The following is a 16,524-nucleotide window of genomic DNA, read 5'->3' as shown; positions in this document are numbered from 1 at the left end:
CTTTGCTGACAGATGCTACTGACCTTGTTTTCCTTTCTGCATTCTGTTCATTTCAAAAGTGGGTAAATCAGAAGTGGGACTCACTGTGACCTTCAGTGACTCAATGCTGAATTCACAAGATTAATTGGAGAGTGTGAAGAATGCAGGGCATCCGTGGACCCATTTTAATGAATTTTAGCATCTCTTGCATCCTTGTATCCTTGCATCCAGTACCGGTCCCCAGCCTTTTAGTAACTGGGCTGTGCAGCAGGAGGTGAGTAGCGTGTGAGTGAGCAAAGCTTCATCTGTATTGACAGCTGCTCCCCATAGCTCATATTACCTCCTGAGCTCTGCCTCCTATGAGATCAGTGGTGGCATTAGAGTCTCATAGGAGCATGAACCCTACTGTGAACTGAACATGTGAGGGACCTAGGTGGCGTGCTCCGTATGAAAATCTAATGCCTGATGATCTGTCACTGGCTCTCATCACCCGCACGCAGATGGGACCGTCTAGTTGCAGGAAAACAAGCTCAGGGCTTCCACTGATTCTACACGATGGTGAGTTTCATAATTACTTCATTCTCTATTACAGTGTAATAATAATAGAAATAAAGTGCATGATAAATAGAATGCACTTCAATCATCCCCAAACCATCCCCCACCCCACATCAGTGGAAAAATGGTCTTCCATGAAACTGGTTCCTGGTGCCAAAAAGCTTGAGGACCACTGGACAAAGGAACTTGTCAGAGTATGGATTGAAGGTCTTTATTGATGCTTTGCTGTCACTCTTACTTTAAGATGAATGCGTATATATATGTATATACATTCTGTAATGTGTGAATATATGAAGCTCCAGCTGCTCTCTCCCTCTCTTTCCTCTGCAGTCCAATTCTCGTAGATCAGTCTTTTCCTGAAATGAATGACCTCTTAAATTTTATTTTATATTTTAAGCTTTTATGTTATTTTACTTTATTTTTAAGCTGTTTTTATTTTTTAAGCTTTTTTTTTTTTGAGACAAAAAAGTCTCGCTCTTGTCACCCAGGCTGGAGTGCAATGGCATGATCTGAGCTCACTGCAACCTCCACCTCCTGGGTTCAAAAAATTCTCCTGCCCCAGCCTCCTGAGTAGCTGGGACTACAGGCGCCAGCCACCACGCTGGGCTAATTTTTGTGTTTTTAGTAGAGACAGGGTTTTACCATGTTGGCCAGGCTGGTCTTGAACTCCTGACCTCATGATCCACCCACCTCGGCCTCTCAAAGTGTTGGGATTACAGGTGTGAGCCACCACAACTGGCCAGTTTGCAGGTCTTTGTTGATGCTTTGCTGTCAATCTTACTTTAAGACGAATGCATATATATGTATGTGTATACATTCTGTAATGTGTGAATATATGAAGCTCCACCTGCTCTCTCCTTCCCTCTCCTCTGCAGTCCAGTACTCTCCTAGATCATTCTGTTCCTGAAATGAACGACCATTTTTTTTTTTTTTATTTTGAGATGGAGTCTTGCTCTGTCCCCCAGGCTGGAGTGCAGTGGCGTGATCTCGGCTCACCGCAATGTCCGCCTCCTGGGTTCAAGCGATTCTCCTGCCTCACCCTCCTGAGGCAGGATTACAGGCGCCAGCCATCTCGCCCGGCTAATTTTTTAATTTTTAGTAGAGATGGGGTTTCACCATGTTAGTCAGGCTGGTCTCAAACTTCTGACCTCAGGTGATCAGCCCACCTTAGCCTCCCAAAGTGCTGGGATTACAGGCGTGAAGCCACTGCACGTGGCCGGTTTGCAGTCTTTATTGATGCTTTGCTGTCAATCTTACTTTAAGATGAATGCATATATATGTGTGTGTGTGTGTGTGTGTATGCATTCTGTAATGTGTAACTATATGAAGCTCCAGCTGCTCTCTCCCTCCCTCTCCTCTGCAGTCCAATACTCCTAGATCATTCTGTTCCTAAAATGAATGACCATTCAGGTTTTTTTTTTTTTTTTCTGAGATGGAGTCTCGCTCTGTCACCCAGGCTAGAGTGCAGTGGCATGATCTCGGCTCACTGCAATGCCCACCTCCCGGGTTCAAGCGATTCTCCTGCCTCGGCCTCCCAAAGTGCTGGGATTACAGGCATGAGCCACCGCGCCCGGCCAGAATTCAGTTTTTTTTTTTTCCCCATGGTTATCCAATAGCACACAGGCTCGTGAAGCCTTCAAGGTGCTTCATCTGAGGTTCGCTTAGAATGGTTGCCACATATTGTTCTGCCGGTGAGTTTTCATGAATTGGACTCTGAAGGTTCTTAATTATGGTGGTTGAGTGACACGGTCTTTCTTCTATAAGAACCTAAGTTACACTGCATATCAGGAAAATGTGTTCCTGGGACCAGCTTTGTTGGGTTTTTGGCTGCTGGTCATCTTCACTTTACTCTCCCAAATTTGAGGACTGTGACACACACACACACACACACACACACACACACACACTCTCTCTCTCTCTCTCTCTCTCTCTCTGTCTCTCTTAGGAAACAATGGTATATCAACAATGAAATGATGCTTTTTTTTCTTCTTCTTTTTTTTTTGAGACAGGGTCTTGCTCTGTCACCTAGGCTGGAGTGCACTGATATGAACATGGCTCACTGCAGCCTTGCTCTCCCAGGCTCAAGCAATCCTCCCACCTCAGCCTCCTGAGTAGCTGGGACCACATGGGCACACCATCACACCTGGATAATTTTTGTATTTTTAGTAGAGACGGGGTTTCACTATGTTGGTCAGGCTGGTCTTGAACTTCTGACCTAGTGATTTTTCTACCTCGGCCTCCCAAAGTGCTGGGATTACAGACATGAGCCACCAGACTCGGCTGAGCATCTTTTCAATATGACCTTGTGTCCGGGCATGGTGGCTCACACCTGTAATCCCAGCACTTTGGGAGGCTGAGGTGGGCGGATCACGAGGTCAGGAGATCGAGACCATCCTGGCTAACACGGTGAAACTCCATCTCTACTAAAGATGCAAAAAAAATTAGTCAGGTGTGGTGGCGGGCACCTGTAATCCCAGCTACTCGGGAGGCTGAGGCAAGAGAATGGCATGAACCCAGGAGGCAGAGCTTGCAGTGAGCCGAGATTGCACCACTGCACTCCAGCCTGGGCAACAGAGCGAGACTCGGTCTCAAAAAAAGAGAAAGGATTCAAGGCAGTGTATACCAAACATGAAAGTAAAGTTCAGGAACCTCTTTGATGGAGGAGATGACGGTGGGGTCTGTAGCCTGTTCATGCCTATAATTGCAACACGTCGGGAGGCCAAGGTGGGAGGATCACTTGAGGCCAGGAGTTTGAGATCAGCTCGGCCAACATAGTGAGACCCCATCTCTACAAAAATAAAAATAAATTAGTGGGGCATGGTGGCACACACCTGTAGTTCCAGCTACTTGGGGGACTGAGGCAGGAGGATCACTTGAAAACAGGAGTTTGAGATCAGCCTGAACAATGGAGCAAGACCCTGTCTCTACAAAAGATTAAAAAAAAAACTGGCAGATGTGCTGGCACGTGCCTGTAGTCCCAGCTGCCTAGGAGGCTGAGGCAGGAGGATTGCTTAAGTCTGGGAGTTTGAGGCTGCAGTGAGCTGTGTTTTCACCACTGCACTCCAGCCGGGGTGACAGAGCAAGACCCTATCAGTAGTAGTAGTAGTAATAATAATAATAATAATAATAATAATAATAATAATATGTTGCTGCAAAAGTAATTGCTGCTTTTGCCATTAACTTTTGCACCAACCTCATGATAAAACAACAAAAACTCAACACCTGTACCTGCCATGCCCTGAAGCTCATGACAGTAGACAAAACTCACTGTGTCTCCAGCCCTCAGTGTTAGATGAAGGGACCAGGGTGTGGGAAGATCAGCAGTTCAAACGGGAATCATAAAACACATAGTTTTTATTTTTTTAGTTTTGTTTTATTATTTATTTATTTATTTTTGTTGTTATTATTTTTCTGAGATGGAGTCTCCCTCTGTCACCCAGGCTGGAGTGCAGTGGTGTGATCTCGGCTCACTGCTACCTCTGCCTCCCGGGTTCAAGTGATTCTCCTGCCTCAGCTTCCCGAGTAGCTGGGATTACAGGTGCGTGCTACCATGCCCGGCTAATTTTTGTACTTTTAGTACAGACGGGGTTTCACCATGTTGATTGGGCTGGTCTCAAACTCCTGACCTCGTGATCCGCCTGCCTCGGCCTCCCAAAGTGCTGGGATTACAGGCGTGAGCCACTGCGCCCAGCCCCCATGAAACATATAGATATTTTCAAAACAACTGTACTAGGATCAAGAAGGATAGGACTTTTGTTTTTCCTGTTTTTTAAGAATGAAATATCATATGGCGTAAGCATAGATTTATTTATTTACTTACTTATCTATTCATTTATTTTTAGAGACAGGATCTTGCTCTGTTGCCCAGGCTGGAGTGCAGTAATGCAATCATAGCTCACTGCAGCCTTCAAGTCCTGGGCTCAAACAATCCTCCCATCTCAGCCTCCCACGTACCTGGGACTACACATGCAAGCCACCATGCCTGGCTAAGTTTTAAATTTCTTTGTAGAGATGGGGTCTTGCTATGTTGCCCAAGCTGATCTCAAACTCCTGGCCTCAAGTGATTGTCTCACCCTGACCTCCTAAAGTGTTGGGATTACAGGTGTGACCCACTGCTTCCTGCCTAGACTTTTTTTTTTTTTTTCCAATTAAGGTTTTTACTTTGAGATCATTGTAGATTTATAAGCAGTTGTAAGAAATAATAGGAAAGAATCTTGTGTCTACTTCCCCCAGTGGTAACATCTTGGAAAGCAATAATACCATGTCACAAGGAGGATATTCACATTCAGGCAATAATGCATTGATCTTATGTTTTACTCGTATCCGTGTGGGTTTTTGTACCGAGTTCTGTGCAATTTCATAGTGCGTGCAGGTTTGTGAAGCCAGCATTGTCCGCAACACACAGAGCATTTCTTTCACCAACAACCCCTCCTGTTTCTCTCTCTGCATCCTACCTCAACCTCCTCTCCCGTCCTGAACCCCTGAGAATTACTAGTCTGTTCTCTATTTCTGTACCAACCTGCATCCTACCTCAACCTCCTCTCCTGTCCTGAACCCCTGAGAATTACTAGTCTGTTCTCTATTTCTGTACCTTTTCTCATGTCAAGAATGTCATATAAATGGAGTCATACAGAGTGTAACCCCTTTCAAATCACGTGTGTCTTTTTTTCCTTCACTCAATAGAATTCCCTGGAGAGCCATCCAAGTTGTTGCTAAGAACAATAAGATGTTTCTTTTTAAGTAACACCTGCAAAAAGTCTTTTATAAAATGGCGATGAAACTAAATGGTTTTTGATTCTAAACAAGGCAGCCATGAATGGTTTTCTCGTATATCTTAGCATATGTGTGGGAGTGTATCTGTGCAAGTAATTCTTGGAAGTGGAATAGCTGAGCCAAAAAGAAAATGCATGTAAATTTTCTTTTCTTTATTTTAAAGAGACAGCGTCTTGCTCTGTCACCCAGGCTGGAGTGCAGTGGTGCAATCATAGCTTGCCGCAGCCTCGACCTCCTGGGCTCCAGTGATCCTCCCATTTCAGCCTCCAGGGTAGCTGGGACTACAGGCGAGCATCACCACGTCTGGCTAATTTATTTTTATTTTTGTAGAGGTAGGGTCTTGCTATGTTGCCCAGGCTGGGCCTCGTGCTCCTAGCCTCCGCTGATCCTCCCACCTTGGCCTCTCAAAGTGTTGGGATTACAGGCATAAGCTACCAGGCCTGGCTGCCTGTCACCTTTCAGGAGTCATTGTCAACTTATCTCCTAAGAAAATGCAGTCTTGGTGGGTACATTTGAACTGAGTATGTAAACTTCTAACTTCTCCAAGGCATACGCATTCTGGATAACAACCCTACTTTTTAACCTATTCCATGTGATTGATGAAAGCTCACAATTGCTTTATTCATTATTTCATTGTCAGCGAGACTGAACTTTGTTTCATATGCTTATGTTTTATTTCATATCTCCAAATTGCATATTCATTTCCTTTACCCATTTGTGGAGGGACTGGGGTTTGGTTAGAAGAGCTCTTTATAGACCGGGCGCGGTGGCTCACGCCTGTAATCCCAGCACTTTGGGAGGCCGAGGCGGGCGGATCACGAGATCAGGAGATCGAGACCATCCTGGCTAACACAGTGAAACCCTGTCTCTACTAAAAATACAAAAACAAAATTAGCCGGGCGTGGTGGCGGGCGCCTGTAGTCCCAGCTACTCGGGAGGCTGAGGTGAGAGAACGGCGTGAACCCGGGAGGTGGAGCTTGCATTGAGCTGATATTGCGCCACTGCATTCCAGCCTGGGCGACAGAGCGAGACTCCATCTCAAAAAAGAAAAGGTTAGAAAAATACACCATGGAATACTACGCAGCCATAAAAAGGATGAGTTCATGTCCTTTGCAGGGACATGGATGAAGCTGGAAGGCATCATTCTCAGCCTAATAACGCAGGAACAGAAAACCAAACACCACATGTTCTCACTTACAAGTAGGAGCTGAACAGTGAGAACACAGGGACGCAGGGAGGGGGACATCACACACCAGAACCTGCTGGGGGCTGGGGAACAAGGAGAGGGAGCGCATTAGGACAAATACCTAATGCATGCAGGGCTTAAAAGCTAGATGATGGGTTGATGGGTGCAGCAAACCACCGTGGCACATGTATACCTATGTAACAAACCTGCGCGTTCTACACATGTATCCCAGAACTTTAAAAAAAAAAGAAATAGTATTTCAATATGGTCTGAATTAGGATGTCTGTTATTAGATATAAAGGAGAACATATGTGTTGAGGGCCATTTGAGCCTGTTCTGTATATAAACTCTTATTTTTGCCCTTTTCTTTGTAGCATGTTTGGGGTTTTTCTGGAGTTGAACTTTTTAGATATCTGAAAAATAGCTGTTAATATTTCTGATGGAAGTTGCAAATTTTCTTCCAGCTCATTATTTATTTTTTACTTTGCTTATGGAGATTTGTTTTGTTTTTTACCATGTGATTTTTTTTTTGAGATAGTGTCTTGTTCCTCCTGGAGTGCAGTGGCACGATCTTGGCTCACTGCAACCTCCATCCCTTGGGCTCAAGTGATCCTCCCATCTCAGCCTCCCAGCTTGCTGGAACTACAGGCACGCACCGCCACACCCGGTTAATTTTTTAAATTTTTTGTAGAGATGAGGCCTCTCTCTGTTTCCCAGGCTGGTCCTGAGCTTTTGGCCTCAAGCGATACCCCCACCTCAGCCCTCAAAGTGCTGGGATTACAGGCATGAGCCACTGCCCGGCCTGTTTTTTAAACAAGTAGTTTTTTAAATAGTGAAATCTATCTAACCATCTTTCTGAATTTTCGTTTAGGAAGCATTTTCTTTCTGTGGAGGTTAAACTAATGATTCCTGCTTTCTTGCAATCTTCTCATGGTTTAACTTTGTTTTTGCCTTGGAGTTCACTCATGCATGCTATGAGGTCTGGCACTAATTTTATCTGTTTCCTAATGTGGCTTCACGTGCCCCAACACGGTTTATTAAAACGCCCATCTTTTGCCCCTTTTGTCGTGTACTCAATTTCCACATGCAGTTGGCCTATTTTTGGAAATTGTACCCTGTTCCTTCCTCCATTAATGCCTGTAGTACCTCCCGTTTAATTATAGAAGCTTCTCAAATGTTTTAATCTCCTACAGGGCCATTGTGTTCTCAATCTTTGTACATATCAGAATTTTCCTCTTTGCCGCCTCATTTGGAATTCTTTTCCCCACAGCAATTTTCGAATCGATTCGTCCAGTTTGCCTAAAAGAAATTCTGTGAACTATCTTTATTGGATCACATCAAATTTGCATATTGACTTGGGTCATTCTGACACCTTTAGGATTGTATCAGTTTAGATTTTTTTTCCCCCTCCAACTTCTATTTTATTTTTTAAATTAAAAAAAATTTTTTTTTTGAGACGGAGTCTGGCTCTGTCGCCCTGGCTGGAGTGCACTGGCGTGATCTCAGCTCACTGCAAGCTCCACCTCCCGGGTTCAAGCGATCCTCCTGCCTCAGCCTCCCGAGTCGCTGGGATTACAGGTGGCACACACCACCACGCCCAGCTAAATTTTGTATTTTTAGTAGAGATGCGGTTTCACCATGTTGGCCAGGCTGGTCTTGAACTCCTGACCTCGTGATCCACCCGTCTCGGCCTCCCAAAGTGCTGGGATGACAGGTGTGAGCCACCGCATCTGGCCTCAACTTCTATTTTAGGTTCGGGGGTACATGTGCAGGTTTGTTCCCTGGGTATATTGTGTGATGTTGAGGTTTGGAGCACAAGGATCCCGTCACCCAGGTAGTCAGCACAGCACTCAATAGTTTTCCAACCCTTGCCCCATCCCTTCCTTGCCCCATTGAATTGCTCAGTGTTTATTGTTCCCATCTTTATGTCCATCTGTACTTGATGTTTACCTCCCAGTAAGAAGTGAGAACGTCTGATATTTAGTTTCCTGGTTCTGTGTTAATTCACATAGGAGAATGGCCTCCTCTTGCATCTATATTGCTGCAAAGGACATGATTTCATTCTTTTTAATGGGTGCATAGTATTCCATGGTATAGATGCACCATGTCTTCCTAAGAATTGAATTAACATTTGAGCCAGCAATCCCATTACTGGGTATCTACCCAAGGGAAAGTAAGTCATTCTACCAAAAAGACACACGTACTGTGTGTTCATCGCAGCACTATTCATAAAAGCAAAGACATGGAATCAAACTTAGGTGTCTGTCAACTCCGGATTGGACAAAGTTTGGGGGTTTTTTTTGTCTTTTTTTTTTTTTTTGTGAGATGGAGTCTAGCTCTGTCGCCCAGGCTGGAGTGCAGTGGCACAATCTCGGCTCACTGCAAGCTCTACCTCCCAGGTTCACGCCATTCTCCTGCCTCAGCCTTCCGAGTAGCTGGGACTACAGGCGCCCGCCACCACGCCAGGCTAATTTTTTGTATTTTTAGTAGAGACCGGGTTTCACCGTGTTAGCCAGGATGGTGTCGATCTCCTGACCTCGTGATCCACCCGCCTCGGCCTCCCAAAGTGCTGGGATTACAGGCATGAGCCACCGTGCCCGGCCGTCTTTTTTTTGTTTTGTTTTGAGACAGTCTTGCTCTGTCACCCAGGCTGGAGTGCAGTGGTATGATCGGAGCTCACTACAGCCTCAACCTCCCAGTCTTGCGTGATCCTCTGAACTCAGCCTCCCGGGTAGCTGAGATGACAGCCGTGTGCCACCATGCCTGGCTAATTTTTTTGTACCTTTTTTTTTGTTTTGTAGCAATGGGGCTTCACTATGTTGCCCAGGCTGGTCTTGAACTCCTGGGCTCAAGCGATCTGCCTGCCTTGGCTTCCCAAAGTGCTGGGATTACAGGCATGAGCCACTGCGCCTGACCCATTTGGGTCTTTGGAGAAGCACACACCAAGAAGGAACATGATGGGCCAGAGATTTACTAGGGGAACTGTGTGTGAAGGGTCAAACAGGCGCTGGCAGAAGAGTGGAGGAAGGCTTGCAGGTGATGGTGTAGGTGCCTCACACCTGTGAAGAAAGAGACGGCGAGGAATTGGGTAGAAGGAGCGTCCAGCCAGTTCTCTGGTCATGCCGAGTCATTGGCTGTGAAAACCCAAAACCCTGAGGAAGCCCGATCTTGCGAAACATGTTCCCCATCTGCAGAGGCACCGGGTGGCTGGTGTCAGGCGATTGTTGCAACCTGTTGTGTGCGGGGGTGTCTGTGTGGGTACATACATACTTCTCAGCCCCAATGCCAGCTTCCTGGTCCGTAAGGAAAACACTAAACTCTTCTAGCTAAAGTTACAAATGCAGCAAGGGTCCATTCTGCAATCTGTGATGCTTTTTTTTTTTTTTTTGAGCTGGGGTCTCGCTACCTTGCCCAGGCTGCGGTGCAGTGGCACAATCACGGCTCACTGTGCGTTTTCAGGGAAGACCCCACGGGCACCTCCAAAACCATGTGGCATGACATCCTCACCGAGACCCGAGGGCATCTTTCCATGGCCTCAACTCTACTTTTATGTCTTTAGGTTTCCTGATATAGGTTTTGCACACTCTCGATGACCAAGTCTCATTTCAGTGTTGCTGTTGTTTCTATATTATAAGCAGGACTGTCTCTTCCCCTACCTTTTTAACCTGCCAATTGTTTGTGTATGTATGGAAGCTATTGATATTTGCTTCTGAGTTTTCTATCTGACTACCTTCCTGAATTCTCTTCTTGGATTTATTTAATGTTGATTTTGTTAGTTTTTTCCTGGCATACCATCATATCATCTGCAAAGTATATTTTGACTCTCCCTCTGCCGTTCTTGTGTCTGTTGTAATTATTTGTCTGACCATGTTGGATAAGATCTCCAGTAGCATGTTAAATGACAGGGTGCACTCCTGGAATCCAGCTCTTTGGGAGGCCGGGGTGGGAGGATGACTTGAGCCCCGGAGATCAAGACCGGTCTGGGCAACACAGCAAGACCCCATCTTTACAAAAAAAAAATAGTAAAAAAAATTAGCCAAGTGTGGTGGCTCACACCTGTAGTCCCAGCTACTTGGGAGGCTGAGGCAGGAGGATCATTTGAGTCCAGGAGGTCGAGGCTTCAGCGAGCCATGATTGCACCACTGCACTGCAGCCTGGGCAATGTAGTAAGACCCCAGCTCAAAAAAAAAAAAAAGCATCACAGAGAACAGGATGGATACTTGCTGCTTTTCCAAGTTTAGCTGGAAGATTTTAGAGATTTCTTTATTGACTAGGAAGTTGGCATTGGGGCTGAGAAATATGTATGTACACACACAGACACACCCACACACAGACACACATGTATACATACACAGTATATATGCATACTGTGTGTCTGTAATTACAATTTAATAATACATTCCTATTTTTAAAATAAACTTAGTAAATTAAGAACATCAATACATCTACTGATACTACATATAGTATTTGCAAGTCCCTCAGCTTGGGTCAGGAACACGGGAATGTCATTGTACAGGTTCTATCTTCAGGTTACGAGGGATACACCAGAAAACCTAAGCATATGGAAAACTTATTCGGCAATTTTCTAAGTGAACATACCTTTTCATCGATTCATGCGTGTATCAAGAAAAACAAAATGAAAGTCTTACACACCAAGAGGATTGTTCGCACAATACTGACAACGAAATGTACGGGCTGACAAATAACAGATTATATGTTGAAGCCTCCTCCACAGGCCCCACCTCCTGATACCATCACCCTGGCGATTGTATGTTCTCAACATAGGAATTATTTTGGGGGGAGAGGAGACACAACATTTTATACTTGGAAAGGTGAAATGGAAAAGCAGCATAGGCTTTATTGTTTTATTTTATTTTATTATACTTTAAGTTCTGGGGTACATGTGCAGAACGTGCAGGTTTGTTACATAGGTATACACGTGCCATGGTGGTTTGCTGCACCCATCAACCCATCATCTACATTAGGTGTTTGTCCTAATGCTCTCCCTCCCCTAGTCCCTCACCTCCTGACAGGCCCTGGTGTGTGATGTTCCCCTCCCTGTTTCCATGTGTTCTCATTGTTCAACTCCCACTTGTGAGTGAGAACATGTGGTGTTTGGTTTTCTGTTCTTGTGTTAGTTCGCTGAGAAGGATGGTTTCCAGCTTCATCCATGTCCCTGCAAAGGACATGAACCCATCCTTTTTTATGGCTGCATAGTATTCCATGGTGTCCATGTGCCACATTTTCTTTATTCAGTCTATCGTTGATGGGCATTTGGGTTGGTTCCAAGTCTTTACTATTGTGAACAGTGCTGCAATAAACATACGTGTGTGTGTCGTTATAGTGGAATGATTTATAAACCTATTTCTATTTAAATTACCTTTGTATTTTTATAGATTTTGTGGGTATGAGTACACTTGTGTTACATGAATATATTGCATAGTGGTAATGTTTGGGCTGTTAGTGAGGCCATCACTCAAATAACGTACATGGTAGCCAATAGGTAATTTCTCATCCCTCATCCCATCCCACCCTGTGAGACTTCTGAGTCCTCGATGTCTATTTTTTATGCTCTATGTCGACGTGTACACATTATTTAATTCCCGCTTATAAGGGATAACATGTGGTACTTGACTTTCTGTTTCTGAGCCATTTCACTTAGGATAATGGCCTCCAGTTCCCTTCGTGTTGCTGCAAAAGACACAACATCATTCCTTTTCATGGCTGTGTAGTATTCCATGGTATATATGTGCCATATTTTAAAAAATCAAATTGTCTGATGGTGGACACTTAGGCTTTATATTTTAATAAAGAACATTCCAAATATGTTGAACAAAATAATCTCCTAACTTGAAAAAGATCATATGTGCCTATAATAATTCACAGAAAGGGACTTTCCTGACTACCTGCCTGCAAAATCCACTTTTCCCTCAGTCTTTCTTTCTCAAGGGAATTCATGGAAATTCCCTCCTTGAATTTTCTCAGCCCCCAGTACAAGGAGTCATTCTTGCCTCATCATGTCCCCCTCTCTGTCCTTGTCTTGTGATTTCTTTTTATTTTGAACGCGAGAAGTCTGACTCCCACCAGCACCCCTGTGGCCAGTACCTGTGAGACATATTCTGAATCCAGCACCTCTCATACCACCTGTGCTGAACTGTGGCGGAGCTCCCCCGTCAGTCCCTGCAGCTGCTTCAGGAGACCCTTGATAGCCTTGTCTTCCTCCAGCTCAAGTGGATTCTCCATGAATCTATTCCTTCCTGTGAAACATATCACAGATTGGCTCAGAGCCCCGTGATGACGCCCTGTCTGCCAGAGAGAAGCTCACGAACTCTGGGGTGCCCCTACTCCTTCTTCCCTCCTCTCTTCCCTCCTTCCATGTGCTTGGCTCCAGCTAGCCAGCCAGCCGCCTTCCTCTTCCTGGAATATCCCAGGCCTGCTAGACTTTTGCTCTCACCGTCACAACATCAGCTCAGGAGCCCCTCCTTGGAAGATTGTTCTCTAACCCTCCGTCCAGAATCACTGCTTCTCCCTTTCCTCTTCTTCCTTTGAAGTTCATTCATAACTGGAAGATGTGAGATCTGGAAAGTTCTGCATTATTGCCAGACACATCTGTGTATTTAGAGTGGTTGGTATCTTTCCCAGGGGAACCAAATGTCCTTGAGGCAGACAACATGTTTATCTTTGTCTAATTCATTTCCCTGTATGCTGGGCACAGAGTGTGGGCTCTACACATATTTTATAAAAGAAGGAGGGAAGGGTTAGAAGATGGACAGAAGGAAGGAGGAAGAAAGGAAGGAAAGAGGGAGGAAAGAAAGGAAAGAGGGAGGGAAGGAAAGAGGGAAAGAAGGAAGGAAAGAGTGAGAGAAGGAAGTAAAGAGGAAAGGAAGGGAAGGGAAGGAAGGAAGGAAAAAGTGAGAGAAAGAAGTGAAGAGGAAAGGATGGAAGGAGAAAGGAAGGAAAGGGAGGGAAGGAAAAAGGAAAAGAAGAAAGAAGGAGTGAGACAAGGAAGTAAAGAAGAAAGGAGGGAAAGAGGAAAGGAAAGAAGGAAAGAGGGAGGGAAGGAAGGAATGAAGAAAAGAAAGAGGGAAGGAAGGAAGGAAAGAAGGAAGGAGGAAGGAAGGAAAAAGGGAGGGAAGGAAGGAATGAAGAAAGGAAAGAGGGAGGGAAGGAAGGAAGGAGGGAGGGAAGGAAAGAGGGAGGGAAGGAAAGAATGAAGGAAGGAAGGAATGAAGGAAGAAAGGAAAAAGAGAAGGAAGGAGGAAGGAAGGAAAGAGGGAAGGAAGGAAGGAAAGATGGAGAGAAGGAAGGGAGGACAAGTGGAAGGAAGAAAAAGAAATACAAATCTCCCTCAAAATGTGGATCACTCGTCTTAACCAGAAATTCAAGTGAGATGCTATCTGCACGTGTGATACCAGCAGCTATGAAGCAAACTGTATTAACCAAGTCTTTTATTTTCTGTGTTCTGATGCATGACTTTCATGGCCTTGTCAACCCTAGAGACCCTGCCCCTCCCATAGCTAGCGAATCCCCAGAGGTGGTGAAGAGCCCACCTATGAACCTGTCTTTCATATGCAAACCCATCAATCCAGAATCCACCCCCCAGCCATCTCCTTTATTGGGGTTGCATATTCCACGTCACTCTCCACCTGCCCTAACCACCCCAAAGCCAGGTACCAGAGAGTCAGGGACAGCCCCTATGCCCCAGAGCCTGCTGAAATCATTCACACTAGCCAACTGTAAGCCTACTCGCCTGTTCCTTCCCTTGGAAACCACAGTGAGAGCTCTGGTCTCCTTTGTCTTCCCACCTGACCAAACTTGGTGCGCCCCTGTGTGGTCCTGAGTGGTGTCAACACGCCCCTCCTCTTGGGACCTGTGAGTAACAAACCACTTGCTTAACGGCAGTCTCCTGATCTGTTGGCCCCACCATACCTACATCATAATAAAGTCTACATTTTACAACGCAAACGAACAAAAATGTCCTGCTCAGTGCTGCCCTGAGAGCAGAGGTTATTCCAGGATTCTTGCTCGCCTCTGTAAAGGGTATCCGTTCTGCAGACCTTTCTGCCGGTCACACTGACGGCATATTGCAGAGCCTGCCAGGGACTCACAGGGGATGACAGGGGATTTATCAGGTGGTTTTTTACTGCACTGTCATTACTGGGGGCGAATCCACTTTAATACATTCATGCCTCCTGAGCCTGTGGGAATTCAAGAGGAACAGAACCAGAAATAAATGAACCATAACTCCCTTTGGCATCTTGCCTCTCTGGAGGCTTAATTCTTACAAATATGTGCTCTGCTTTCAAATCTTAGTTTGATGATTTTCTCTTCTTCTTTTTCAGTTTTCCCCCCACGACCTGACCGTGTCGCTATAGTGACGGGAGGGACAGATGGCATTGGCTATTCTACAGCGAAGCATCTGGCGAGACTTGGCATGCATGTTATCATAGGTGATGACTTTTACAGTTACTTGTGTTTTTTGTTTTTTCGGTTTTTTTTTTTTTCTGAGACAGGATCGCAGTCCGTCAACCCGTGCTGGACTGCAGTGGTGCAATCTTGGCTCACTGCAGCCTCCACCTCCTGGGTTAAAGTGATTCTCCTACCTCAGCCTCCCGAGTAGCTGGGTTTACAGACATGCACCACCACGCCTGGATAATTTTTGTATTTTTAGTAGAGACAGAGTTTCCATATGCTGGCCAGGCTGGTCTTGAACTCCTGAGCTCAAGCCATCCGCCTGCCGTGGCCTCCCAAAGTGCTAGGATTACAGGTGTGAGCCACTGCGCCTGGCAGAGTTAGTTGTGTCTTATACCTAATGTGAGCTACTTAGGTGTCGATTCAGACATGTATGCAAATGTTGATGTGCATATAGAAAATTCAGTCAGATCCAGAAAGCTCATGAAGGTGATATTCACAACCTAGAAAACACAGAAAATTGTTGTACCCTTTTGGAAGTAGATATATATTCTGCTTAAATATTGATCCTGTGTTTCTTTCACATGGTTTACTGGAAAAAAATAACCATATATCTTTATGACTTTACTAGGGCTGTTATAACAAAGTATCTCAAGGAGACTGGAGGTTGCTTAAAAAGCCAAAATTTATTTTTCACAATTCCAGAGGCTGGAAGTTCAATATCACAGTGTAAGTAGGGCTGGTTCCTCCCAATTCCAGAGGCTGGAGGTTCAATATCACAGTGTGAGTAAGGCTGGTTCCTCCCGACACCTCACTCCTTGGCTTGTAGACACCATCTTCTCCCTGTGTCCTCACAGGGTCGTCCCTCTGTGTGTTTTCATCTCCTCTTCTCCTGAGATGTCTTAGTCCATTTCAGGCGCTATAACAGAATTACCATAGAATGGGCAGCTTATATACAACAGACATTGAGTTTCCCACAGTCCTGGAGGCTGGATGTCTGAGATCCAGGTGTGGGCAGGGCTGGTTCCTCCTGAGGCCTCTCTCCTTGGTTTCTCTCTGTGTCCTCACAGGGTCATCCCTCTGTGTGTGTCCGTGTCCTCATATGCTCTCCTTATAAGGACACCAGTTCAATTAGATCGGGGCCCACTCTGGTGACCTCATTTTACCTTAATCACCACTTTAAAGACCTTATTTCCAAACACAGTCACATTCTGAGGCCCTGGGCTTTAGGACTTCAATTTATGAATTTTGTTCAAACACAAGCTCCTAACAGAATCTGAACAATGTTGCGGGATACTTGTTTCTTCTGCAACCATGACCTATAGACACTCACGGTTTGATTTCTGCTCTTCTTTTTGAAAATTTCTCTAAAAGCTTATCGTGATCTCTGACTCCTCTTCCTCTGTGACCTCTTCAGGTCTCCCTTCAACTGGGAATATGAGGACAGTTCAAATTAACCCATTCCACTACTGCCAATGGAGACGGAGTGGGGGGCGGGGAGGAGGGGAGAGAGTCTATTGCATACCTGGGGAAGTCTAAATCAGCTAGCTTAAATGATGTGTGGAGACGAGCTTGGAAAAATAAAAGCCTTAATGTGTATTATGCCCACTCTTGACACT

General features: G+C 45.2%; 1 protein-coding gene across 1 annotated transcript in view; it reads left to right on the top strand.

Annotated features, from left to right (window-relative positions):
- The window catches only part of DHRSX (dehydrogenase/reductase X-linked), a 281,471-nt gene that overhangs the window by 60,837 nt on the left and 204,110 nt on the right, over positions 1–16,524 (top strand). The window contains exon 2 of the mRNA NM_145177.3: positions 14,836–14,943. Within this exon, the coding sequence (NP_660160.2) occupies positions 14,836–14,943 (108 nt within the window). The remainder of the gene's footprint in view (positions 1–14,835; positions 14,944–16,524) is intronic.

The sequence above is a fragment of the Homo sapiens genome, chromosome Y, assembly GCF_000001405.40.
Source record: "Homo sapiens chromosome Y, GRCh38.p14 Primary Assembly".
NCBI lineage: Eukaryota > Metazoa > Chordata > Mammalia > Primates > Hominidae > Homo > Homo sapiens.
Note: the sequence above shows the minus strand (reverse complement) of the source record. Positions and strands in the feature narration are given on the sequence as shown.